At 40.8% G+C, this 26290-nt stretch overlaps 1 protein-coding gene across 11 annotated transcripts in view; it reads right to left on the reverse strand.

The window, feature by feature from the left end:
* Nucleotides 1-26290, reverse strand: part of SIPA1L2 (signal induced proliferation associated 1 like 2) — a 232532-nt gene that overhangs the window by 106471 nt on the left and 99771 nt on the right. For all 11 annotated transcript variants that reach the window (NM_001377488.1, XM_017001896.2, XM_047426142.1 and 8 more), the window contains one exon: nucleotides 9422-11173. In NM_001377488.1, the coding sequence (NP_001364417.1) occupies nucleotides 9422-10904 (1483 nt within the window). In that variant the 5' untranslated portion in view covers nucleotides 10905-11173. The remainder of the gene's footprint in view (nucleotides 1-9421; nucleotides 11174-26290) is intronic.

A 26290-nucleotide genomic window follows, 5' to 3' on the forward strand; every position in this document is an offset into this window, starting at 1 on the left:
GCTGAGGCACGAGAAGTGCATGAACCTGGGAGGTTGAGGTTGCAGTGAGCCGAGATCGTGCCACTGCACTCCAGCCTGGGCAACAGAGCGAGACTCCATCTCAGAAAGACAAAAAAAAAAAAGTAACTCAACAACCTCAAGAAGTATCAAACACCTTTGTTAGTGTTTCCTGGATTAAATTACCGAATTTACCAGGAAGTTTTGAAAAACATAGATTTTTGTCATGTAAATTTTTGCTCTTTTGACCCAAATTTAACCAAGGTATTTGCTAAGCTTGAAAAATCCAAGGCATTACAGTGAAGACAATAATATTAAGTATCTTTCACAAAAATAAACTCAGTTCATCCTGTCTACTTATGAGGAGGCACAACTATTCTTACAAACAACACTGAGGCAGAAAGGTTAAGTGACTCGCTCAAAGTCACAATCTGGTGGGACAGTGAGGATGCAAACCCAGACAGTCCGGCTCTAGTGTTCTCTCACGGAAAGCAGCTTGAGGCTAAAAAAATTCATGCAAAGGTTTAAATTACAAAAATTAATTAATACAGGAAAGTGAACACAACTTAAAGATGAGACAACAAATGTATCCTTGACATAAAAACGGTATCTTGAAAAACATGATTTCAAGGAAAGCTAGAGTGAAAAATGAAAAGACTGAAGAAGGAAGGAAGGCAGATTATTAAAGGCTTCTTTTCATAACCTGTATGGTTAGTATTTGCTCAAAAGGAAGAAGAAAACACTAGGAAAGTATGAAAGGCCTCACCACTTCAAAGAAGAGAGGTGGAGCCCACTGATAACGGGATGGCTGTCCAGCTTTTATTTTAATTAAGTGGGACAAATAGTGAAATAAATTTTGGGTCTAAACAAATACAAAGTGTTTAAACTAAGTTTCTACATTCTTTAAGAACTAATGCTCCAAAGACCTTTACTTCCAACTTACTGTACCAGCAGCAAAATGCCAACAAGTGTTGTCAGTTAAACGCCATGTGAGTCAAACTGTAAAGAAATATTAAGTCTTATTCCTTTTCCCAGGGAAATAATAGGGCATTCGTTCTTCTTCCCCAGTAACTGACTGAAGACTTTTTGGGGCCAGAGAGTCAGTAGGTTTTGAAATAGCATACAGACAGCCCTTTGTGGGTTCCTGCAACACTGTGGTGTATGGGAACTGTGACTGTCCAGATACGGCACCTCTGCAAGAGAGAAAGCCCCGGTGTTTTCCACCGACGGCCACATGGAGCCCGTGCGACCACAGCCCTTGGTGCTGAATCTCATGTGTATCTGGGCAATTCCTCCCCATTAAGGGCGCCTGTGGGACTTGACGGGACCTCCGTTTGGGGAGGCAATACTGGCCAGGGAGAGAGGTGAAGAACTCAGCCGATTATGTCTTCAGAGGGAGGAATGTGTATCTTAGAATAGTACTATTGTTAGATGGCACTCTGTTCACCCGTATGAATTTAATAGTGTCCAACTCCCTATTAATTTTCGTCAATGACTGTATAAAATCAGAAGGAAAAAACAGCTACCAGGCATGAAATTCAAAGCAAATGCAGCCATGCATCACTCAGCAGTGAAGTTCATTTGATATGTAAAGGTGTAGGCCCGCCTACAACTGTCACATTAGTGACACTTAAGTGAGTGTGTTTGGAATGGGGTGATGGACTTCACCAGACACCTTTCCCCAGCCCTCTCTGCCATATGGTTCTACTTGTTTCTCTCTTCATCTTTGAACCACTAAAAGAAAGTATTGCCCTCTAAAGCCTGTAGCAGTGGTGTGAACAATAGTTTCTTTTTAGAGGGAAAAGTCTTACACATTTATTTAAGTAACCCTGGGAAGCAGGGGGGCATGCTATTGACAAGCACTGCTCTAAGCCCTTTACAGGGGGGATTTGTATTATTATCATCCCATTTTACAGATGATTGACTAGGGCACAAAGTAGTTCAAGGATTTGCCCCAAATTGAGTTGGGATGTGAACCTCAGTGTGCACTCTGCCTTAAGTGATGTCATTTGCCCGCCATTCACAGACCTCTATTTACCAAGAGTTGACCTCCAACTATAATTAAAATGGATGGACACTTTTACCTAATGGCAGAAAGATAATTCCCCAGCCAAAAAACGGTTAAATTGGTATCAAGAGAGGTAAGAGGGTTATTACACAAATTCTAGAAGAATCAATTTGTTCATTTAGCAGGATTTACATACAACATATTATTCTTCAGTTAAAATACTAATGATAAAAATTAGCACTGGAGGAAAGGGTGGGTTTACAAAGAGCTAGGTAAGAGAGCAGTTACCAGAAACAGTGAAGTTGGCTGCTTACAAGAATTCTATGGTCGTTCAATAAAGCAACATAAAGCTTTGTTATTTATAGGAACTACTTACAAATTCTTTCTTCTTGTCTTAAAGAAATAGATCATAATTTTAAATATATGAGCACTTATGACTTACATTTGTAAAATTTTTAACTTTTTATTTCAGAATTCTTTTAGATTTCTAGAAAAGCTGTAAATAGCAGAGTTCCCTTATACCCATCTCCCAGTTTCCCAGTTGTTAACATCTTACATTATTTTGGTACATTTGTTATGATGAACGAATCAATACTGTTATGTTATTAACTAATGTCCATACTTTATTCAGATTTCCTTAGTTTTTAATGGAATGTCCTTTTTCTGTACAGGATTCCACCCAGGGTACCACATTCCATTTAGTTGTCATGTCCCCTAAGGCTCTTACGGTCTGTGATTTTTTTTTTTTTCTCCGACTTTCCCTGCTTTTGATGACCTGGACAGCTTTGGGTACCAGTCAGGGATTTTGCAGAATGTCCTTCATTTGGAATTTTTCTAATGTTTTCCCCTAATTGTACTGGGGTTATAGATTTGGAGAGGAAGCCTGCAGAAGAGTCATTCATAGCCGGGGTACAAGCTACCCACAGGACTTACCACTGTTGATGGTGACCTTGGTGACCTAGGGAGGTAGTGTTTGCCAGGCTACTCCATTGTAAAATTATTTGTCCCTGTCTTTCCATAAGATACCTTTTGCAAGTGAGTCACTAAATGCAGCCCACATCCAAGTAGGAAGGTGGTGGGACACTGACTTAAACTCTTATAAAGATAAATTACTTTTTCAAGTAAAGATTTCTTTACAAAAATGGACATTCACTAATGTATTTGGTAAGTTGTTTTGTAGAGGTATTGCATCTACAAGGGGACAGGAAATTATGCATCTTCCCCTATTACTGTGCTTCTATCAAGCTGGTAAGTTTCTCTCTCAAGTAAAGCAAACACAGTCATTAACTTATCTGCCCAGATCATGGCTGGTAAATACCTGGCATCTCCTCATGCATTCAGTGCAGATAACGATAATTGATAATGGCTCTTAAAATGCAGATGCAGTTCTATACATAATGACATGGAAGGGTGATCATCAAAAGCAAGTTCCACAGTAATAGCAGGAGTAAGCTCCATTTACATAAATTTATTTGCATCAGAAAAGCCTTCAAGGATAATGACGAAATGTTAATGGTGATTATAGCTGATGAATTTGGGGAGACTTTATTTCTTGCTTTTCTACATTTTCTTATTTTCCCATAACCATCATATGACATTTATATACCATTTAAAAATTCTAAATGAAAAAAAGATATAGATTCGTCAATCTGATTCCGCATTTTCCCCCACTACATTCAGAGGAACACGCGCTCCTGTGCCAGCAGAATGGCTCTAGCAAAACAACGTTCCCGAAGGCTCAGACAATGATTTAGCCACTTTTCACTTCACTCCTGAGTCACCACGGAGGCCCAGCTTCATCCTCCCATCTGGTTTTAACCTCTCTTTACCCAAATATTACTCACTTTGCCTCCTAGAACTATTCTGGTCTGGGTGGCATAAAGTAGGGCACAGAACCGTTTTAGAACTCCTGAGTAACCCACTAGGTGCACAACTTCTTAACAAGTTAAGGATTTCGTCACCAAGCGGGGGAGACCTCACGTGTCAACACACAGTGTCTGGGCTCTGCCACACAGTTCCAGCACTGGCCCCACTGTTGGTGGCAGTGTGCAGTGCCAAGCAGGTCCAGAAGGAGGCAAAGCCTGCTGCTCTGCTACAATGGAAACCAGACTCACTGATGCTCACATGACTGACCGTGGTCAAGCACAACTAGAATCCCTATCTAAGGGACCCTTTGTCACAGCCTGTTTCACAAATGCAAAGCTCAAAGCAGCAGCAAATGGCACATTCACAATGAGTCCCATCAGAGAAACAGTAATGTGACAAACGGCACCAATGTGTCTTCATGGTTATCGCCCGTGAAAGGAAGGGACTTATTGGGCATTCACTCTACTTGCTACTATCCTCACTGCTTTTAAAAAAGCTGTTTTGGCTGGGTGCGGTGGCTCACGCCTGTAATCCCAGCACTCTGGGAGGCTGAGGTGGGTGGATCACCTGAAGACAGGCGTTCGAGACCAGCCTGGCCAACACGGCGAAACCCCATCTCTACTAAAAATACAAAAATTAGCCGGGCGTGGTGGCACATGTCTGTAATCCCAGCTACTTGGGAGGCTGAGGCAGGAGAATTGCTTGAACCCGGGAGGCAGAGGTTGCAGTGAGCCAAGATTGCGCCACTGCACGCCAGCCTGGGCAACAGAGCGAGACTCTGTCTTCAAGAAAAAAGAAAAGCTATTTCACTGAAAGCTACAGATGGATTTGCCTGGGCAAGCGATGTTGTCACACAGTTTCCTGTGTCCTGCCACTCCCCTGCAGAAATCCTTTCACAAAGTTATTCAACAGCCTTTCAGTGATGATGTGTCACAGAAATACACCTCAGCATCAAAAGCAGACATTTCACATTAACTACCCAATAAAGAAGAAATCACATTATTAAAGTATCGCACTTTAAACATTTGCCATGATTGGGAGCCAGTTAATTCTCTTGAAAATGAAGTTTTACACAGAACCCTGAAGCACAGAACAAAATAAAAGCACTCTGGAAAGTATTGAAAGATAGATCCCTGAAAGTCAGTTTCCAAAGAGAAAATCCTTGAGAGAAGGGAAAAGCAAAAAAGGGAAAGAAAAAAGCTATCTCAAAAACATCGTTATCTGTGCCAGTCTGCCCAGGCCCTCTGTTTTTAAATACAATGAAGCTCACCCAACTCATGATGTTTGCAGACAGAAGGGTCTTGCACAACTGTGTCCAGTGGCTGAAGCGGGAATGGGAATCTACTCCCACACCATAGGAGGCCTCCACCTCACTGTACTTTTCACTTAAGAATCTGGGCTGCTGCCTCTGCCTGGAGTCCTTAATGGCTCAACAAGAGACCAGCAAGAGCAGGAGCAGATGCCATTGTAACCAATTTCACTTTGAAGTCACACTGGACCACAGGGGAAGAGCTAAATATAGGAGGAGGCAGGACACAGTTCACAGCTGCGCTGGAGAGAGAACAGAGCAGCCGGGGCTCGGCCTTCTTCTCGCTCCTGGTGGCCGCTCCTTCCCCAGCCCGAGCCCATCTGCAGGCACAACAGCACCTTCCACAGCACAGAATCACAGAACACTGAAGACAAAGTGACCTCACGGATTGCCTCCCCACTCCCTCATTTTGTGGGCTTTGCAAAGCACAGTCATGTACCGCATAGGGATATTTCGGTCAACAATGGACCACATACATGACGGTGGTCCCATAAAATCATGATGGAGCATATACAGAAATCTGATGCATGGCACTTGATATTGGCAGTGCAGATGAATAAGGGGAAATGTCTGATATTCAGTAATGGTGCTGGGACATTTGGTTTTCAATATGAAAATATATATATATATATGAATAAAGATATATATCTAGGATTGTGTAAGTATACTCTATGATGTTCACGCAATGACGAAATTGCCTAATAACACATTTCTCAGACCATATCCCTGTTGTTAACTGATGCGTGACTATAGTCTAGAATTCTGCTTTCTGACTCGTTTATAAATCCACTGCAAAGCTCAGAACCAGAGAGTGTGCCCAACAGCACCAAAATGCCAAACGATAAGCGTACATCCACCCACAATTCACTGACAGGGTGTCTACACTCAGATTCTTCTTTGGAGCTTATTTATTTCACATTCAAACCTAAGCAGTTTGATGATGTCATTTGCAATGCTCTTGAAAAACTAAGTAGCTCATCAGAAAAGGTGGAGGAAATAAATCACTTGCAGAGGAGTCTTTAAAACTACCAAGAAGTGACAGTTGAGAATTCAAGAGAAAAACTACAAGTAGCAGTCAAGAAAACTAACAGAATCTAGCAACCTAAAATCATCTCGGGGAACAGACCCTGGGGACATTAATGAATCAAATGGTGGTGACCGGGGTGCACAAAACAACAGTTTTTCATTCCACTTACACTCAGACATGTGCAACAGCATATGAATGAGACGCTGGCACTAAGTTTTGGCATAAATATGAACATATATATAATTTTATGTTCTAGTATTTCAAAGTCTGAATCACAAACTATTTACAAAACTCAGCTAGCCAGAATGACTAATTACCTGGGGATTTCAGGGCATAATAAATCCAACAGACTTTATTTTATTAAGAATTGGCAGCCATGGCTTCATCAATAAAAATAACCTTAATTAGGAAGCCTATCTCTCCATCTCCCTTTCCAAAAATAACTAACTTCCACCTAGAGAGCATCCTTGAGCAGTGTGATATAATGTGATACCTCTGCATGAACACGGGCATGAGGGTTATGAGTTATTTTCACAGCAGAGACAAAAAAGCAGGTCCAGGATTCTTTGATTCCACTGGCTGGAAGGAAGTAACTATGGTGTTAACACTGAGGCACACCTGAAGCCAAGACCGAAATTCAGGGTGGAGGAGAGGAAAGGAGACACAACAGGGGACCAAGATCTGTTGACAAAACTATTTCAGTCCTATTATGTCATCAGTATGAGGACAGAGAGACAATTCACACTAAGTGACCAGATGCAGTGTAAATATCTGTTTATTTAGCTTTATTGCATCAGATCATTTCTCTGATTCATGTTGTCATAATGTGATTACAAAAGACATGCTAAGTCTGGATTGATGCAAAAACAGGAGGGGGAATTATTAATAATCACAATTTATCTGGCAGACAAATTCTTTTAAGTCTATACTCCATGAGAAAAAGTAATAAACAGGCTTCACAGTGGTTTAACGTTATAAGGGACTGAAGTGGACAGAGTGACCTCCTAAGGTCTGTGTTACCCACCCTCCCCAACCCACTCCAATAAAACAAACTACAGTCAAAAATTACACAAATATTCTCAAGACAGAAACCAATACTGATGAAATTAAAATCTAAAACCATAAAAACCCTAGAAGAAAACCTGGGCAATACCATTCAGGACATAGGCATGGGCAAAGACTTCATGACTAAAACAGCAAAAGCAATGACAACAGAAGCCAAAAATGACAAATGGGATCTAATTAAACTAAAGAGCTTCTACACAGCAAAAGAAACTATCATCAGAGGCAACAGGCAACCTACAGAATGGGAGAAAATTTTTGCAATCTGTCCATCTGACAAAGGGCTAATATCCAGAATCTACAAGGAACTGAAACAAATTTACAAGAACAAAACAACCCCATCAAAAAGTGGGCAAAGGATATGAACAGACACTTCTCAAAAGAAGACATTTATGCGGCCAACAAACATATGAAAAAAGCTCATCATCACTGGTCATTAAAGAAATGCAAATCAAAACCTCAATGAGATACCATCTCACGCCAATTAGAATGGCGATCATTAAAGTCAGGAAACAACAGATGCTGGAGAGGATGTGGACAAATAGGAACATTTTTACACTGTTGGTGGGAGTGTAAATTAGTTCAGCTATTGTGGAAGACAGTGTGGCGATTCCTCAAGGATCTAGAACCAGAAATACCATTTGACCCAGCAATGTCATTACTGGGTATATACCCAAAGGATTATAAATCATTCTACTATAAAGGCACATGCACACATATGTTTATTGCAGCACTATTTACAATACCAAAGACTTGGAACCAACCCCAATGCCCATCAATGATAGACTAGATAAAGAAACTACCATACATATACACCATGGATACTATGTAGCCATAAAAAAGAATGAGCTCATGTCCTTTGCAGGGACATGGATGAAGCTGGAAACCATCATTCTCAGCAAACTAACACAGGAACAGAAAACCAAACGCTGCATGTTCTCACTCATAAGCAGGAGGGAGAGCTTTAGGACAAACACCTAATGCATTCAGGGCTTAAAACCCAGATGATGGGTTGACAGGTGCAGCAAACCACCATAGCACAAGTATAACTATGTAAAAAACCTGCATGTTCAGAACATGTATCCCAGAACTTAAAGTAAAAAAAAAAATAAATAAATAAAAGTACAGTGAGCTCCCAGCTATCTGTGCTAGAAGCAGAATAGTTTATGCACTGAGAAAAAGGAGGAGGAGAGTAGCGGGGCCCACCCTCTGCCTCCTCAGGCACTCTGTGAGGTTATCCCTGGATCCCTGGGAGCAGGAAGAGGGCTGACGGGTGAAACTGAAGACAGAAAAATATAGCTCTGAAAAGTAAGCTGCACTATAATGAAGGCGTGAAGGACACCAGCTGCACCCAATAAGAAGGTGGTGAGAGGTGCCGGAGTGTTTTCCTCGGCATGTGTTACTGACACATGTGGAACCTGTTTCTCTGTAGGTCTTTAAATCAGAGAAGATTCTCCTAGCCCTGGGATAATTAGGGACACTTATTTAAAGGTTGAGGATTCAACTACATGACCTCTGAAGAATGCATCCTTCAAGCCTGAAGATATACGTAAAGCAAAAACCATTTATTTGACATAGAATTAAATAATTTATCACTTGTGTCTTAACATTTAAGCCCATCTATAGAACTACATGAAAACAAAATTTGTCTGTTGTGGTAATTCAGGCATTCTTTCAACAAAGATTTAACATGTCCAACACATACAGCAATGCTGGAGAAGCAAAGTACAGAAAGATTAGAGAGGTGAGGGAAACACAGAATTTTCCACTGTAAGCAGCATAAGAGATTATTCAGAGGAATAGGAGGAGGACAGAATTAATCAGGGAAGACTTCTTACAAGGGATGAAATCTAAATCAAGTCTGAATTTGTGATGATCACAAATTGGCAGACAAAGAATGACAGAAAGAGAAACCAAAAGGGCATTTACACATTAAGGACTACCCATAAACAAAGGCATGGAATTGCAGTTTTCTAAAGAAAAAATTAGCCTGGAAGCTATGGAGGGACCATGATGGAGAACAAGGTCAGGCCCAGTGGACTATGGCCTTGGACACTCTGAGGAAGGTGCTCCAACACAAAGCAAAACATTGTGACTGGTTCTTAAAAAACTACTCCCGAGACACATGCAAACGCCCATGGCTCTTCCTTACCTTTCCCATAGAAGAATTTGCGGTAATAATAGGCCCCAAGGTCAATGTGTTCTATGATGTAGCGCTTCACTTTCTCCCTGTGAATAGGCTGGTTTTCTCTGGGCACTTCCAAGACGGAGACACCTGCATTTGTGCAGTGAGAGCTGAGTGACGATTCGAAAGAGCAGCTTTCCCCAGAACTGAAAGAGGATGAGTTGGCTCGAGAGAGCGCAATCCGCCTGTCGCCTTCCCCTCCAGTCTCATTTCTAAAGTAAGGACAACTAAGGACGAGGTCGTTACTTTTCCCATCACCCTCATCGGCATCCAGGTTCTCTTTGGAGTTGAGGTCCTCCTTGCTCCCTAAAGGGGACTCACAGTTGCCTGTCTGGCCCGTAGGCATCTGAGTCTGGGATGCTGCAGATGCCCCAGTGGTTATGTTTTTCCTTTTCCCCACATTAGCCCTCGTAGCCATGGCTTCGTTGATATTAAACAAAATGCTCTGGACATCATAATGTGCAAAACATCGCTGACAATTCCAAGGGCGAATGCCCCTCTCCAGTCGGCTCTCCTCCAGCTCAGACGTGAACTTGAAAGTTTCGTGCTCACTTTTAACAGTTCGAAGCTTTCGGAAGAGAGATGTTTCCACCGACTCTGATTTCAACCTCCGTTTGAAAGGCTTGTCCCTGTCTCTCCCCATCAGGAGGGCACTGTCCACATAATCTAATCCTGAGATGCGGACAAATTCTCCCCTAGAAATCTGTGCTGCTGCATGAAGGCTCGGAGAGATTGCAGGGTCACAGCGGAAAAATTCAGGGAACCCAAAAGGGACCATTGCTTTGTGGTCATAATTTTCTACTCGGTACCCTCTGAGCATAGCAAAAAAGTTTTCACCAGATAAGCCTTGCCTGTCGATGGATGAAGTACTTCCATACTCCCTGTGCAGGGCAGCCCCGGTGTTGGGGTTGACTGCATTTTGGTCTAAGACATCTTCGGCATCAATGTCACTGATAGTGACATCACTATTGCTCCTCTGTCTTATGGGGTGAAGTCCTCTTTGGGGGGAATGGACAAAGATGTCTCCGATTGTGTACTTGGCCTCCACGAAGTCCAGATCGAGCTGTTCATCTTGCTGACCTTCACTCTGGTCACTCTGCCCATTCTGCAGGACAGAAGTGATGCTTTCATAACTGGTCTGAGACCGGCTTTCCCACAGTGCCTTGCATGTTAGCTCCTTGGAACAGTCCTTTTTAGGAGGCCATTCAGACACCCTTGCTCTCACACCCATCTTGGGCACAGCTGGGGTACCATTAGCCGGACCACCACCGCCAGTCTCATTGGAATTCGAGGCATTTAAAGAAGTAGTGGGTCCCATGTTGCCATTAATGGCTTTAAATTTCCGAGCAAAATAATCATCTGACTGCATGATTCTAGGGGGATCCTTGAACTTTGAAGAGGCTCTGCCTAGCTTGTGCTTCTCTTCTTGTGACTGCCTTGGGTCACTCATGTCTACCGAGGAAGAGCCTCCAAGTCTCACCAGGAAGACTGATGTAAATCTAATTACATTGCTACCGACCACGCCATAATACTTGCAGATATAAAGGCTTTGTCTGTAGTTGTATTTTTTCTTTTCTTAGCCCAAAGCAAACAACATCCTCAGAATACAGTTTCTTCAAAGCCAACTTGCTTCTCTGTTGTCGTAATAATGTTGTACGCCTCTGTTCTTTTCAAAAGCATTCCTTAAGACATCTGGCTGGTCATGAGTATTTCCTTCACCTGAATTAAGAGATAGGAAGTAGCCATTAGCAATTAATATGCTTCAAGTTGAACACATTCTATGATAAATTTCGTATCTGTCTTTCCCCTCTGCTTCTGCCCACAAAGTTTCATGATCCACAGCACTGTTCGTAACACTCCTCCCTGGAACACCATCTTCCTTCTCTACATAGCTAGATAAAATTCACACCATACAATCAGGTATTAACTCATCTAAGAAACTTTCCTAGGATGTCTCCCACCCTAATTGCATCTAAGCAAAGAATGTTGTGATCCCACAGCACTCCATCTATATCCAACAGAGTAATTTTCCTTATCTCTAATTGCTGTTTACCAACTCACTGACTTCAAGTTCCTCTAAGCCAAGAACCATGCCTTTCAGCTGTGTACCAGCATTAACTATTAAGGTAGCCTGGCTTAAACTAGGGATTCATGAAGTATTTCAATGCATGAATTGGCTACAAGAGCAGCACAAGTCATGTATATAATGGGTTTCAGTATTATTAGTTTAGTTTCTTTCAAAACAGTTAAACTCAAAATGTCCCACAGCAAAATGGTCAATACAAGACATTAACAAGAGAGTTTTCATAGTGATCACTTGTAGTCAAATTAGAACTCACACAGATCCTCCTTTAAGTGGGAAGAGATCTTCAAGGATCTGGTATCTGATACATCAAATACATTGCAGTAGTGAGATACTGGGTAAGAAGCTGTTTTCTTGTACCTCAGTTGTCAGTTTTTCAGTCTCCAGGAATGGATTTGATAATAGCCTAAACTGTGTAGGAAATAACTATAATCCAGTCATCCTTGATCCTTTTAAACACAATAATTCTAAGAGAATTAGGTAAGATGCAGTCATTTATCTTATCTTTCTGAAAACCATGGGATAGTGTGTCTGTTCTGTCCTGTGCATGTCAGTATCTGACTACTCATTTTCCCTGTTTGCCATATCCTAAAATATCATTTTATTTCCTCCATTATGGAACAGCTCTGAGAGTAGACGATACGTTGTCATCCCTAAATTTTTTTTTTTTTTATGGTAGGGAGAAAGCAACTGCCACCATAAGAAAAATATCTGCTATTCTAAGACATTCCCACATGCTCATCTCAAAGCCATTAGGAGTCCACTGGAAAGAGTTTTTATGCTGTTTAGCTAGTTGGGATTTTAACATTTTCAAACCGAATTACAGTTATTAATATTCCTTATGCTTTGGTGAAGGATGAAGAAAACTAGCTATATTATAGCTTTTGTTCAGAAGAGGTAAAGTGATTCTTTCATTCTTCTGCCAATGAGTAATATAGCCTGTCATGAGTTTGGAAAATATGTAACACCTGAAAATGTCTGTGTCTAAATAAAGAAAGAATAAATTCAAAGAAAAATATTTGTAATTAAAGAGAAGAGTAATTAGATCAAGTGTCTACAAACATACGGGTAAATTGCAGTGTTTTCTATTTCCAGGGGTCTTTATTTTACAGGTCACTTGTGGCATAATGCACTAGAAAGTTGTATTCTTGTACATAACCAGTCCCCAACTAGAAATGACATTAACAAATGCATCCACGAAATGCAAAGAACCACTTTAATTGTTGCTTTGAAACTCCTTTATCCTTTTATTTATAAAATAAATGCCATCCAAATAATGAGGACAAACCCTACCTTCCTTTCTTTTCCGTGTCATGGCATATATTGAAATACCAGTATCTGTACAGCACAAGGGAGTCAAAAAGGAACATGCTCAGACTAGAGGCACAGTTAACAGACTGACCACCTTGGGCTCAACCCACCACCCAGAGGGAAGAGCAAACCGGCATCTCCTCACACTTGTAACCTATTCACCACGCTCCACAGGGAAGCTCTGAGTTTAAGCCACCAACTAATAGATGTGCAAAATAAACCAGAGAAACTATTAAATATTAAAACTAGGATTAGCGAGAATAAGATAATAATTAGTCCTGGAAAACCTGACTAGCTATTATAATTTACTGGGCTCAGATTCTTACTTGAAAATCTATCTTCTGAGCTTTCACATTCCTCTAACATTTGTAGCTTTCTCAATGTTTAACAGATGAAATTAAAGTTACAAAATATTTATTACACATATCTTGTGAAAAAATGGAAGACACCAATATATAGTCAAAAAATAAAGATTAGCTGGGTGTGATGGCTCACACCTATAACGCCAGCACTTTGAGAAGCTGAGGCAGGAGGATCGCTTGAGCCCAGGAATTTGAGATGAGCACAGGCAACACAGCAAGAGCCCGTCTCTACAAAAACCTGTTTTTTTTTAATTAGCCCGGCGTGGCGGTACACACCTGTAGTATCGGCTACTTGGGAGGCTGAAGCAGGAGGATCCCTTGAGCCCAGGAATTAGAGGTAGCGGTGAGCTATGATCGCACCACTGCACCCCAGCATGGGCAACAAAGTGAGATCCCATCTCAAATAAAGATTTTACAATATAAATAATATACGAAATTAAAAATAGATGAATTTATGCTGAATCTTATCATTAGGTTCACTACAAAGGATGAAAACTATAGCAAACTCAGAGCATGTGAAATTCTTTCCTAAAGGTATCTCAGAATATTCCTTCTGTTGTGAATTTTGAAAACTTGTTTGTGCTAAGAACATTAGCTTTAGTGGACAGCTACTGATTTTTCCTATCTAAAATCCACTCCCCTTTCTTCTGGTAATGGTGGCTTGAATTGCTTTGGAGAATCATTTAATTTGTGTGAGGCTAACTCCACACCTAACACGTGGCCAGTTAAGAATACCTCCTTCCCTGGCCACAATTATTGGTCCTGGGATGCAGCCCGGATCCCATCTCCTTGTAACTCCTCCCCTGAGATTTTGCTCTACTGTAGCTTGTGGAAACTCTGTGGTTCTTTAATCTCTCTCCCTCCTCCCTTGTTTTCTACGCCCTGCCCCAGACATACCAAGCGTCTTTCAAGTCTTCAAACAGCCCACTCTCCAGGCTTGTGTCCCAGCTGTTCCCTCTAAATGGAGCATCCACTGCTTGAGCTGAACTGACAACCATTCATGATCATCTCTCTCCCCGCAACTGGGTGACTCCACAACATACTCCCATGGTGTCCTCTACTTCCCAAACACCCATTTCCATGCCTTCTAAGGACTTCCTGCTTCTCTCTGTGTGTCTCTCCCCAGGAGAAAGTTCTGTGAATTTGTTTTCTTCCCCATTTTATCTACGGTGCCTGGAGCTGTTTCTAGTATGTGGCAGATGTTTAATAAATATTATTAAATTAACAAATTACTGTACAAATATATTAGGCAGTAAGTCCTTATATTAGAAAATATTTAAATGAAAAATTCTGGTGGTTATAGGAATATATTTTACAATATATTGTAACCACAAAAGTTTCATTTGATATAACTTTGTAGAAAATCACTCATTATAAAGTCAAATACCTATGAATGGTTGTTAACACTTTGCAGGACACTGTTTGCTCCATGCCATTTTCCCAAATCCTTACAACAGGTAAACACAAAATTCAGCAACTACTCCACTCTGAAAAGACAGCTTCCCACCCCCACTTCCATACCAGCCAAATGAGGTGATTACAGACATGTCTTCTAATTGTATACAAAGAAAAGAATGTCATACTTCATCTTCTAAGCATCTCGGCAGCTTCCTCTAGTAGACCCAAGGCCCATTCCCAAACATGGTAGTTAATAAAACGGCCAATCCTGCCACCAGTCTCTGTCCTCTTGTGAGCGTGGCTACGCGGCTGTGTGCAGAGCTCCATTTTCTGTAGGTGGCATGCAGCCAGCTTCCTGGGGCTCTGGATGCCTGCCCGTGAATGGTACCACTCCAAAACTGGATGGCACATGGAAACCGTGCAATCTAAAGACCTGGTCAAAAGGCCACCTCAGCTTCGTGTCCGAGTTAGAGAAGAAGCCATATGAAGCGAGGGCCCACACATGCCTTCTTCTTCGTGAGCAGCTGTGAATCACACCTGTCCTTCCCCCTCTGTGATTTTACATCATTTTGTCATTCTAACAGATTGTAAAAAACCAGTTATGAGAGTTTCAGACTGGCAAATGCAGAGTCCTCAAACAAAAAGGCCATGGTATTTTTCCTTAGAAAGCAAACGTGCTATGAAACGAAATATTAAAAAGATGTAGAATAAACTGGATCCTCATTGTACATGTATATGGTGAGTGCCACTGGTACCACCTGCTCCCTCCTGCCTTATTCTAATTAAAGGCACAAGGATACTAACTGCTTTCCTAAGTGAATAGTTAAATGGACTCATACTTCTAAGCTGGTACAGCTTGAGGAAAAACAAACATCAAGGAAAATCTGAGACTCATTTAATACCTTCCCTAGAACTTTATAAAGATGACAGACTAATCTTCTATATGAGGCCTGTGACCTTGTCAGCAACATGAATATCTTTTCTTCCAGGTAATTTCCTAAACCTAGATTCTGACCATCTGGAGGGTGGTGAGAAGACGGAGTTTGCCTTCGAATGATCTAATTAAAACAGATCTCTAGATTTTGTCTACATACAGTTTTCTTTCTGTTCTTTAAGCTAATTTTTACTGTGAGGGGCACTGGTCTTCTCCCCATAGTTTCCAATTATTCTTGCATTTCATAAAATTCTATGGCTTTGCTCCCCAGTAAAAATAAATAATTATCACCAACATTCTGCAAGCACTTTAAAAACCCAGACAGAAACCCCACAGGTAGTGGGGTGCCCCCAAGTGAGGAAGGGCTAGGGAAGGCCACCGACCAAAATTGAAGAATTTTAGAGCATGAAGGAGCTGTTCTCATGCTAACTGTCTTGGTAATAATTTTAAAGGGATAGAAAAGAAATGGAGAGCATTTGATATTTAAGCATAATTGTCTTTAAATAAGATGTTTTTCGACGTTTTCCATGAGACATCAGTGAGTCTTTAAGACCAATATTAGAGTTCTAATTGAGCCACTTATCAGGAATGCAGCTGTAGCAAATGGATTGAAAACCACAAAATGCACAAATTACGAGCCCCATTCAAGGGAAAAAATGGTTAAAATTATATAGCAGATTTATAATACAAGTATAACTATAGTAAAAAAAATGCTTATTTTTCATGCCAGTATCCCAACAGCTCTAATACTAATATGGATAATAGGACAGGGAATAAAAGGAAGAACAAACTGATCCCACTTTTACCCTCTCTCTGTGGCCAAGAAGACAATCAATGAGCTGAGGTGCTGCTCGCACTTGAGGTCTGATCACCTAAAATGCATTTACCAAAAACTAAGCCTGGTATTAAGTGAAATTATAACCAAATGGCTATAAAACAACCCATTAACTCACATTCCTATTACAGTAGAATACGAAAATCAAAGCTATAAGACAATTTGATAAGTAGCTACTATTAAATAATAATGGTAATAAATTGATATACAAGTTCAATAATATTTTTGCCTGGTAAGTTTTTGATAGATCTGAACATGAAAATAAGTTCTTAAACATTTATCTTGAATTAAACACTGGGGTGGTACCAGAGATAAATATTTTTGAACATGAGAACATAAAAACCAGCAGAATTCTCCTCTTTGGGGTTTTATAACATAGGGGTAACCTATGATCTGCGAAGGGGAATAAAATCTTTTCTTGCTGGAAAGTTCACACTGGTGTTAGGCCAACTAATTTTTAAAGTACTCCACGTGCTATTTGGAGGAATTTCTCAAGTGACATCCCAGAAAAGCTGATCTCCTTGATGTAGTTAAGAATTTTTTCATTGGAGTAAAGCAGGACCTCAATAAAGAAACCCTGAAGGATTTAGTCTCCACAAGAAACCCATATTATGAGTTTCCTTTATACTGATTTGTACTTCATAGTGAAGGAAAGGGCCCAATCAAAGGTTTGTTAAATGGAGCTCTTGGGTGACTCTGTAAGTAAAGCAGCTTGGTAAACTCCATCTGGGTGGGGTCCTGGTCTGTCACAGTCACTGCTTCTACTCCCAGTCATGCCTGACACTCGGTTGACAATCATCACTAACCTATATCCATCCATTTAAATTGAAATGACTGCAGACCAAAGTATCCCAAAGTCCTGAGTCGACACAGTATCATAACACATGCTTGGAGCACACTGATTCTCATTTGTCTCTTTTGGTCTGCTGGCTGGCTCCTCCTCCTCCTCAGGTTGTCTTTAAATGCTGATGTTTTTCAGGGTTTACCCTAGCCTGCCTTCTCTTTTAATTTTATACATTCCCTTGTGCCAACCTCATAGTCTCATATGCCATCTCTATGCTGATGACTCATAAATCCTTATCCACAAGTCCAAAGATGTCTCACAGTTGCAGGAAGATAGTCTAGGTCCTCCTGCCTACCCCTCCCTGCACCCAAATCTGTTCCTCCTCTGCCCAGCTCAGGGAAAGGCACCACCAACCACTCAGGTGCCCAACCCAAACACCCAGTGCTCATCCTGCCTTCCCTTCACAGCCCACATTCAATCCTGCCCATTTTACCTTCCAAATACTCCTCAAATCCATGTCAATTTCTTCATCTTGACTGCCACGACCAGAGTTAGAACCACTATCATAGTTCTCCTAGATTATAATGAAACCCTTCAACAGTTCCTTATTTCCCTCTGAATAAAGCTGCTTGCTTTAAGGCAGCACAAGCCACTCATGATTTGGTCCATGAGTTCCAGCCCCTTGTGCAGCTGCTGGATTTCCACCCTCCATGCTCCCATGTGTTGACCTTCATGTTCTTATCCTTTGTACATGCACTACCTCTGCCCACATCTCTTCAAGATGTATTTATTTCCTGCCTTACTAAGAGGTGTTATCCATCACACCTCAGTTCACGTATCATGTTTTTAAAAAGCCTTCTCAAACCTTAAGGTTGGGTCTAAGTGGCCCCCATAGCATTGTGCCTTTTTTTTTTTTTTACTCTAAGTTACACCAGACTATTCTATACCAGTTTATTGTTTGCTGCTATCCTCTTCTAAACTCTAAGCATGGGGAAGACATAGACATGTCCTGGCATATGGACCCTCGGCAAATATCCAGCTCTACTATATGCTGCTGAGATGATGGTAAAGCCATCTGTAATCTCTGAGCCTCAGTTTCCTATCTGTAAAGTGGGAATAATTTTATCTATTTCAAAGGATTATTCTAAAGATTCAATGGGATCTAAAGCCGTGAAATAGCTGAAAATGTAATATATGAGTGTATATTTATTGACAAACATACTGATTTGAAATTAAGCAAATGAATGAAACCCATAACTATTCCAAAGGAACCCAGTAAAGGAAATAGTCAGGTTTACAAAGTATAGGATGACTGCTCACTGATTTACACACAAAGAATAAGAGAACACAAACCAGTAACTGACTGCAGTGTTTAAGCTGATTCTCCAAGAGGCAAAGAAAAGCTTTTAGAAGCTGAGTGAGTTGCCCAAAACAATCTCCAGGGAAGCACTATTCTCTTCCCAACTACAACTTACATTTGAAATTATTTGAGAGACTTTATACTGTATTAGAATATGGCTTTTGTAAAGTTTTAAACTTCCTGTATGTCAATAAGGAACAAGAACCAATTTCTGGTAGTAAACTGCTACCCTGCCCATCATTCTGTAAGTCAAAAATAGAATAAACAAAGGGCTGTTTTGTTAAATAGATAATTTTGATCATGGAGTTTTTTGAAGGAGACAGAAGAACAGCTGTGAGTATTGACTGCTTCCCATTAAATCTTTTTAAATCAGAAAGAGATAAAAAGAGATAGCCCTCACCTCCTTCTCTCAGGAGGTTATTAGTTAATACATCTTTTCAGCAATGTGACCCCTGAATTACAGATGGCACAGCAGGAAATCAGTCATTCCAATTAATAATTTAAGCAGAGGCATTTATGTCTGAGGAAAACACAGCAAAAGGAGAAAAGAATTTCTACTTAATGTCAACCAATATAGACTGTACTTATTAATTTCATTTAGAAATCATAAAAAATAATCTGTCCTATTCTTTAAATGAATGTTTAGTGACAGTGGGTAGCAAAGAAGAGAACATGAGCATTTTATAAGAAAACTGGCAGGCTGGAGCTTTAAAAAAAATACAATCCTTCCGGAAAACATTCTGTTCTCACTAATATTATTTTCCATTGAATCCACAGTGAAAACTCTTGCAAAGTATCTGTATTATGGTGTTCAACAAAACTAACATCAATCAATATTGTTAAAAATTGAACTAAACTGTGCAAAGCGTGTCCCATCACTGTATTCTTTATTAAAATGCAACAAATAAACACAAAGCCTTCAAATCTGAAGATGCTTCCTTTCAACTTGGCATAAAGGACATGAAAAGAAAATCCTGCCAATCCATACAACAGTCCAGTATTTGATTTTTTAAAAACAGTAATTTTAGCAGCAAATACACAACAAACTCCATTCACTACTCACACACACTGAAAGCCATCTTTGCACTGTTCCCATATTTACTTGAGTTATAAGATACTGAGTTTTGCTGAACAGTTTTATGTGGTTTATTGTCTGATATAAAAAAACCCTCTTGTTACTTCAGTAAATCAACGTATTCAGTTCTACCAGGGCACTGTACTGGATGCTGTGGGTGGGAAGAGTATGAAAGATGAATGAAAGAGCTTCCTAATCTTCAGGAAGCTTAGCTGGGTAAGACATGCACATGAATAATGAGTCATAGAAGAAATGAAGTTAAAACAATAGTATACCACTTCTGACCAAGCAAGTTACAAAAGTCCATGAGTGTGTCACACATGCATGTCACACACACAAACACACTCCCCATGCCGGTGAGGGTCTGGGGGATGCATGTCCCACATGCTACAGACAGATGCAAACTGGCAGCTCTCTTTGAACACCAATAAGGTAATATATATTAAGTCCTATAAAATGTTCAAATACTCTACATCTGAAAAATCTACCCAAGAAAATAAGAGACTTATAATAAGAAAATTAAAAACTTATATAGAAAAATATTCATCCAAAACTACAAGAATGAAAAATCAGAAACAGTCTTAACAGTCAGTGATCAGGGATAAACATAGTACATATATAAAATAAATAACTACACAATCCCAATTTTTTAAGAATATGCATCAACTTGAGGATTTATAATATAATATTATGTGTAAACAGCCATATACAGAAAGGTTTATATAAGGCATGAAACAAAGTATGTTAAAAATCTATATACATAAAAATACAGGAAAGAAACACCCCCATATTATGATAGTGGTTAGCTCTTACAAGTAGCCTTATGCATGCTTTCTGCTTTCTTCCTTGTATTTTTCTAATGTGTCCAAATTATGTAACTGTATATGTATGCTAACTTACATATATACAAATAAACTTTAAATTCAATAAATATAACATTTTTTTAAGATCCTTCATAAAACCAATGGATGTTTAAATTACACAGAACATATAATATTCTTCCTTGTATAAAAAGAGGACTGTTAGCTGCTGCTTCTCCCTTTTAAAGTCCCACACTAAGATAAAGAAGAAAATGGATATTAACATTGAATGAACAATACCTACTGTTGATTAATTTAACGTTTTTTTTTTATGGCAGGTATTTACAAAAATACTGCCCTTTATTCCTATGCAACAGAAATTTTTGTTAGAATAATAATAGCTTTTTTTTTTTTTTTTTTTGGAGACGGAGTCTTGCTCTGTCGCCCAGGCTGGAGTGCAGTGGCGCAATCTTGGCTCATGGCAACCTCCACCTCCCTGGTTCAAGCAATTCCTCTGCCTCAGCCTCCTGAGTAGCTGGGATTACAGGCACCCGCCACCAAGCCTGGCTATTTTTTTTTTTTTTTTTTTTTTTTTTGTATTTCTAGTAGAGACGGGGTTTCACCATGTTGTTCAGACTGGTCTGGAACTTCTGACCTCAGGCAATCTGCCCGCCTTGGCCTCCCAAAGTGCTGGGATTACAGGCATGAGTCAACACACCCGGCCAATAATATTTTATACTCAAATATATTTTCACAGGCCTTACACCCCACGAGACGCTTGGTGCACTGCAAGGCTGCTCATGTCGTAGACAGCACAAAAGATTAAGAATTAAGAGCTTTGCATCACATCTCTGGAGACATGACTGGGACCCTCAGCAGGCCACTTACTTCAGTTTCATCTGCACAATGGGGATCATGTCTGCTTAGCACACTTAGATAACTGTTGTGGGACCAGTGAGGAAGCACACATAAGTACTCCAGAAGATTTAACACCACAGATGCAAACTATGAGTCTAATCACCACCTGACACCTGAGCAAGCAGACGCCTGGATAGGCAGGGTGGAGCGATTTACTCCCGTGCATATGTCCAGTCCTTAGCTAGTGTTCTTTCCATCTCACTGAGGAATAACTTGTGCCCAATTAAAAACAGCTTTGAGGAGCCAAGAGAGGAAGGCAAATCAGGAAGTGGGATAGACCAAGCTGCTGGCAAAACTGCAACTGAGGAAATCAGTATTATCTACATAAAAGGTTGCCCTTAGGTTCTAGACCAATATTCCACTTCCTAACCTCTCTGAGAAGTGCCTAAGACTCTCCTAGTCCCTGTAGTGCCAATACTGAACGCCAGTTAAAGTGGACTGTGCTGCAGGAAAACACAGACCCGGCCTCCCCAGGCCTGTATCTGTCATCCTACCAGGGACCCTGGTGCTTGGCAGCATCTGAGTCTAACTCCTCAAAAAGCAGGCCAGATGGTGTGTACACCTCTCATGGGATCCCCTAACCCAGCGGTCCCCAACATTTTTGGCACCAGGAACCGTTTTCGTGGAAGACAATTTTTTCACACACTGGAGTGGGGTGGGTAGGGTGGGTGGCTTGGGATGAAGCTGTTCCACTTCAGATCATGAGACATTAGAGTGCTCAACCTAAATGTATGTGAAGCTCACAGTAGGGTTTGCACTCCTATGAGAATCTAATGCTGCAGTTGATCTGGCAGGAGGCGGAGCTCAGGCAGTAATGCTCGCCTGCTGCTCGCCTCCTTCTGTGCAGCCCGGTTCCTAACAGGCCATGGGCCCCTGCCGTAACCCACTGCTTGAGAGTTCTTCCAACTCCAGAATCTATATACCGTAGGCCTGTGACACATGCCCTGCCCTGAGTTGATAACCCTAAAATTAGACTTATTCTCCAAGGTGGGCCTAGGCAGCAAGTCACTCATCTGAGACTGTGCCCCCCTGACCGGTATCTGAGACAGGGAGGCCAGGGCTGTGGATTTTTACATCCTCTCACTGCAGATGTCCCTGCCCACATCAAGACTGTGCCCAAGGACTCTTCCCTCCCAGACTGAAGTGTCCTGCTAAGGGGTCAGTACAGTCCTCTTCTGAGGGGGCCTCCCCAAAGCTTCCCATACCGCCGTCTTCTTGGGGGCCTGACAGAATAAAGACAAAGTACCAGAGTGTCAGTCCAACTACTCAGGAACTGTCACCAAAATAAAGCAATTCCACACGGACAGACCAGCAGAATGATCTGGTGGGTGAAGAAAAATATTAAAAATACTGGCTCCACTGTGTCAAGTCTAAATTCTATGTCCCTCTGCTGCAATAAACTTGTCCTAAAATAAAACAAGAAACTTTGTGGTACAACTTCCAAGGTCACTAAATTAAAAAGCAGAAAAGAGGACAGGAGCAGAAAGGGCTCCATACTTTTTAATTGTCTGGTTTGACTCATAATTGTCCCAGCTTTGTTGGCCAGCTCATTGGATTCTTCAGAAAACAAAGTTTCCTGGAAACTCAAATCCAGGAGTAATGCTAGGATCAATCCTCAAGAAATGTTTTCCCATAATGTACTTCTTTAGGTTTTGCTTCCAGAGGGATACCATTTTAATTCACTAGGCACAGGGAGCAAATTCCAGGGCACTGAGGGGAAGACTCTTCTTTAAACATACTGGATTTGGAATGTTTCAAGTATGAACTGAGTGCTAAATATGAAAAGGAAACTTAAACCACTTTTAATTACAGATGCCCACTAATTAATTTGGCTTGATTATTTTTAAGAAGTTCATAACACTAAAGATCTTTACCTGAAGAAAAAAAGGAAAAAAGAATGACCACTTAATATGATATACAGCATTTTCTAAAATAACAAGAACACCAAAAACCCCATTTAATTCTTCTTCTTCTTCTTTTTTTTTTTTTTTTTTTTTTTTGAGACAGGGTCTCACTCTGTTGCCCAGGTGGGGGTGCAGAGGTGCAATCAATAGCTTACTGCAGCTCAAACTCCTGGACTCAAGCGATCCTCCCACTTCACTCTCCCAAGCAGCTGGTATTACAAGTATGTACCACCATGCCCAGATAATTTTTTAATTAAAAATCCCATTTTCTTATTAAAAATATGATCATGGGAAATTACTGCTTTCTTTGCATTTCCAAGTTAATGAATAAGAGTTGGATGCAGAAACTGTGGTTATCACAACTCTGAGACAAACAGAACACCCAACAGTGAAAACTGATCTCTTGTTAGCAAGTAAGCAAGTTTTATATATATATATATATATATATAATCAACTTTCTAAAAACCACAGGTAGACCCAAAGAACTTGTCTGAATATTTAATTATAAAATGTTAGTATTAACATAATTACATTTATTGAAGGATTTACTATTCCCCAAACCCTTGTAGGTTCATTCGATCCATAAAAAATCTCCGAAGAGACAAGAAAGAGACACTTCTCTCCATTAAACAGACAAGGAAAAAGTCTTAGGGCAGGAAAGTAAGCATTTGCCTGCAGTCAAATGACTGTGTTTCCAGAGAATCAGAACTAGAATCCAAGTTGCTTCATTTTTTTCTACTGTCGCAGGTTCTCAAATTTACACACAGCTTTTTAAAAATTAGAAATAAAAACAAAACACAAACATTACTGGCTTCATCTGTTCAAAAGAACCCAACCTAACCCAAATTTATTAACTTATAGACAAATTCATTAACTTCAAGCATCTCTCCTGCTCCTCCTTCCTGTAACGGGCAACTCTCCTCTTCATCCTTCTTAGAGCCAGACTAAGAGTAGAATTGGACAGGCCTAGGAAAAGGCAGCAGCTCCTCCAGCCTCACATCACTGGTGAGACCCATGCACAGACCTGGCTTACAATCAAGTGTGGCACTTTCTTCCCATTTGGCTCCTGCTAGTTACCCATATAACCCAAGGAAACCTCAAATGTTTGACTGGCAGAGCAGACTGGACATGATCCCAGGCATACCACCCTCAAATAACATCAAAACTTCACAACACCACTCCCAATCGCATTTTACTGACACTTTTGGTTTCTGCCTCAAAGAAACATTTTTTCTTCCCTTGTACAGAGAGCACTGTGTGGTGTTTTGGGTGTTAACCACCCACTTAGACTCACAATCAGAACATGAGATCTTAAGGGAGATAATCTGTTCTCACACCCCCACTTTATAAACCCAGAAGTTAAGTGATTTGCCTAAGGTTACAACACTAGTCAAGAGCAAAATGGATGTCCCACTGGGGTCCCAAAATGCTAACAGTTAGGTCATTGTTCTTTATACTTTTTATTTGAATGTTGTATTAATGAGAATGATCAGTTATGATACACAGGTGTCTCAGTTGGGCTGAAAATATCTACATGATCACCCTGTATGCCCTCCACCTCTATGTTTTTGCTTATGCAGTTCTCTTGCTTGGAATGTTTTTCTTCTTCCACTGGAAGTGGCAAATCTAACACACTCAAAGCCATAATCTATGACTCTTTTCCCCTCTAACTTTCCTCTAAAACTTGACCTTCAAAATACGTTGTGTTCCTTTACTATGTAACGGTATACATTATATTCATCCATTGACAATGACATGCCACTTACGTACCTATCGACCTACTAAGTATGAAGCTGGGCACAGAAGAATGGGTGACATGGCTCCTGGCTTGGCGGAGGCCAGTAAAAGCTTCCAGGTAAAACACCCTTGAGGAGCATGGGCTCAAGGGTGCCAGAATACAGCTTGGCTAAAAGAATGCCCTGCTAAGATTTCCTGCTGTTGTTCTTGGCTCATGCTAGCTAAGATAATGTCCAGAGTTGTGCACCTTCTCATCCATATTCTAGCTGCTAAGATTAAAAGCCCATACATTTGCAAAACTGGAAAGCAGCAAGGATATCACGATAGGGTGGCAAATCAGACATCACAATTTCTTTCTCTCTTTCCTCAGCTAGGAGTAAATAGTTTTAAGTTTTGCTTTTATTCTTATGGAGGAAAAAAAGGTATTGCCAACTTTGGCCAACAGAAGGCAAGAGAAAGCCGTAAGAGATCTGTATTATGCTCTTGAGCACGGCCCCACCTATTGCAGAATGATGTGTCATCAGCAACCTGAAGCCTCATTTCACCATCAACCCCACAGTTTGGGAGAGAAGTGCTGGTTCCCAGACTTCAGTATGAGCAGTCACTGGTGATTAAAGCATAACTTCTCTGACCCTTGTCATTGAAGGTGAACCAACCTGTTTCTCCTGCAGTCTTTCTTGTATAACCAGAATCCTCATCATCTCTAGGGGCAGGAAGCCTCACCATTTATTCTTTTTTTTTTTTAGATGGAGTCTTGCTCTGTCGCCAGGCTGGAATGCAGTGGCACGGTCTTGGCTCACTGCAACCTCCACCTCCCAGGTTCAAGCGATTCCCCCGCCCAGCCTCCCAAGCAGCTGGGACCACAGGCGCACACCACCACGCCCGGCTAATTTTTTTGTATTTTTAGTAAAGACAGGGTTTCACCAAATTGGCCAGGATGGTCTCAATCTCCTGACCTCGTGATCCACCCGCCTCGGCCTCCCAAAGTGCTGGGATTACAGGCGTGAGCCACCGTGCTGGGCCACCATTTATTCTACTTGCATTTACAACCCCTGTCACATTTTAGCCATGGAGTTTCTCCTTTAAGCACATGCCTGAGGCCCTCCATAAAAGCGTAGTACAACTAGAAAGGGTTCTTAAGTCTTCACAACAGATTTCTGAGCAAAAAGGTAAATACTCCTTTTCGCTAAAAAAAAAAGGTTAACAAGTTTGGGGTTGTTTTGCCCAGCGGTTCCCAAATCTGACTACACATTTTTAAAATTACCTAACAGATGTTTATACCCTGCTTCCTGGACTCTAGCCCCAGAGATTCTGGTTCAGAGGACCTGGAGCAGC

This window comes from Homo sapiens, chromosome 1 (genome assembly GCF_000001405.40).
Source record: "Homo sapiens chromosome 1, GRCh38.p14 Primary Assembly".
NCBI lineage: Eukaryota > Metazoa > Chordata > Mammalia > Primates > Hominidae > Homo > Homo sapiens.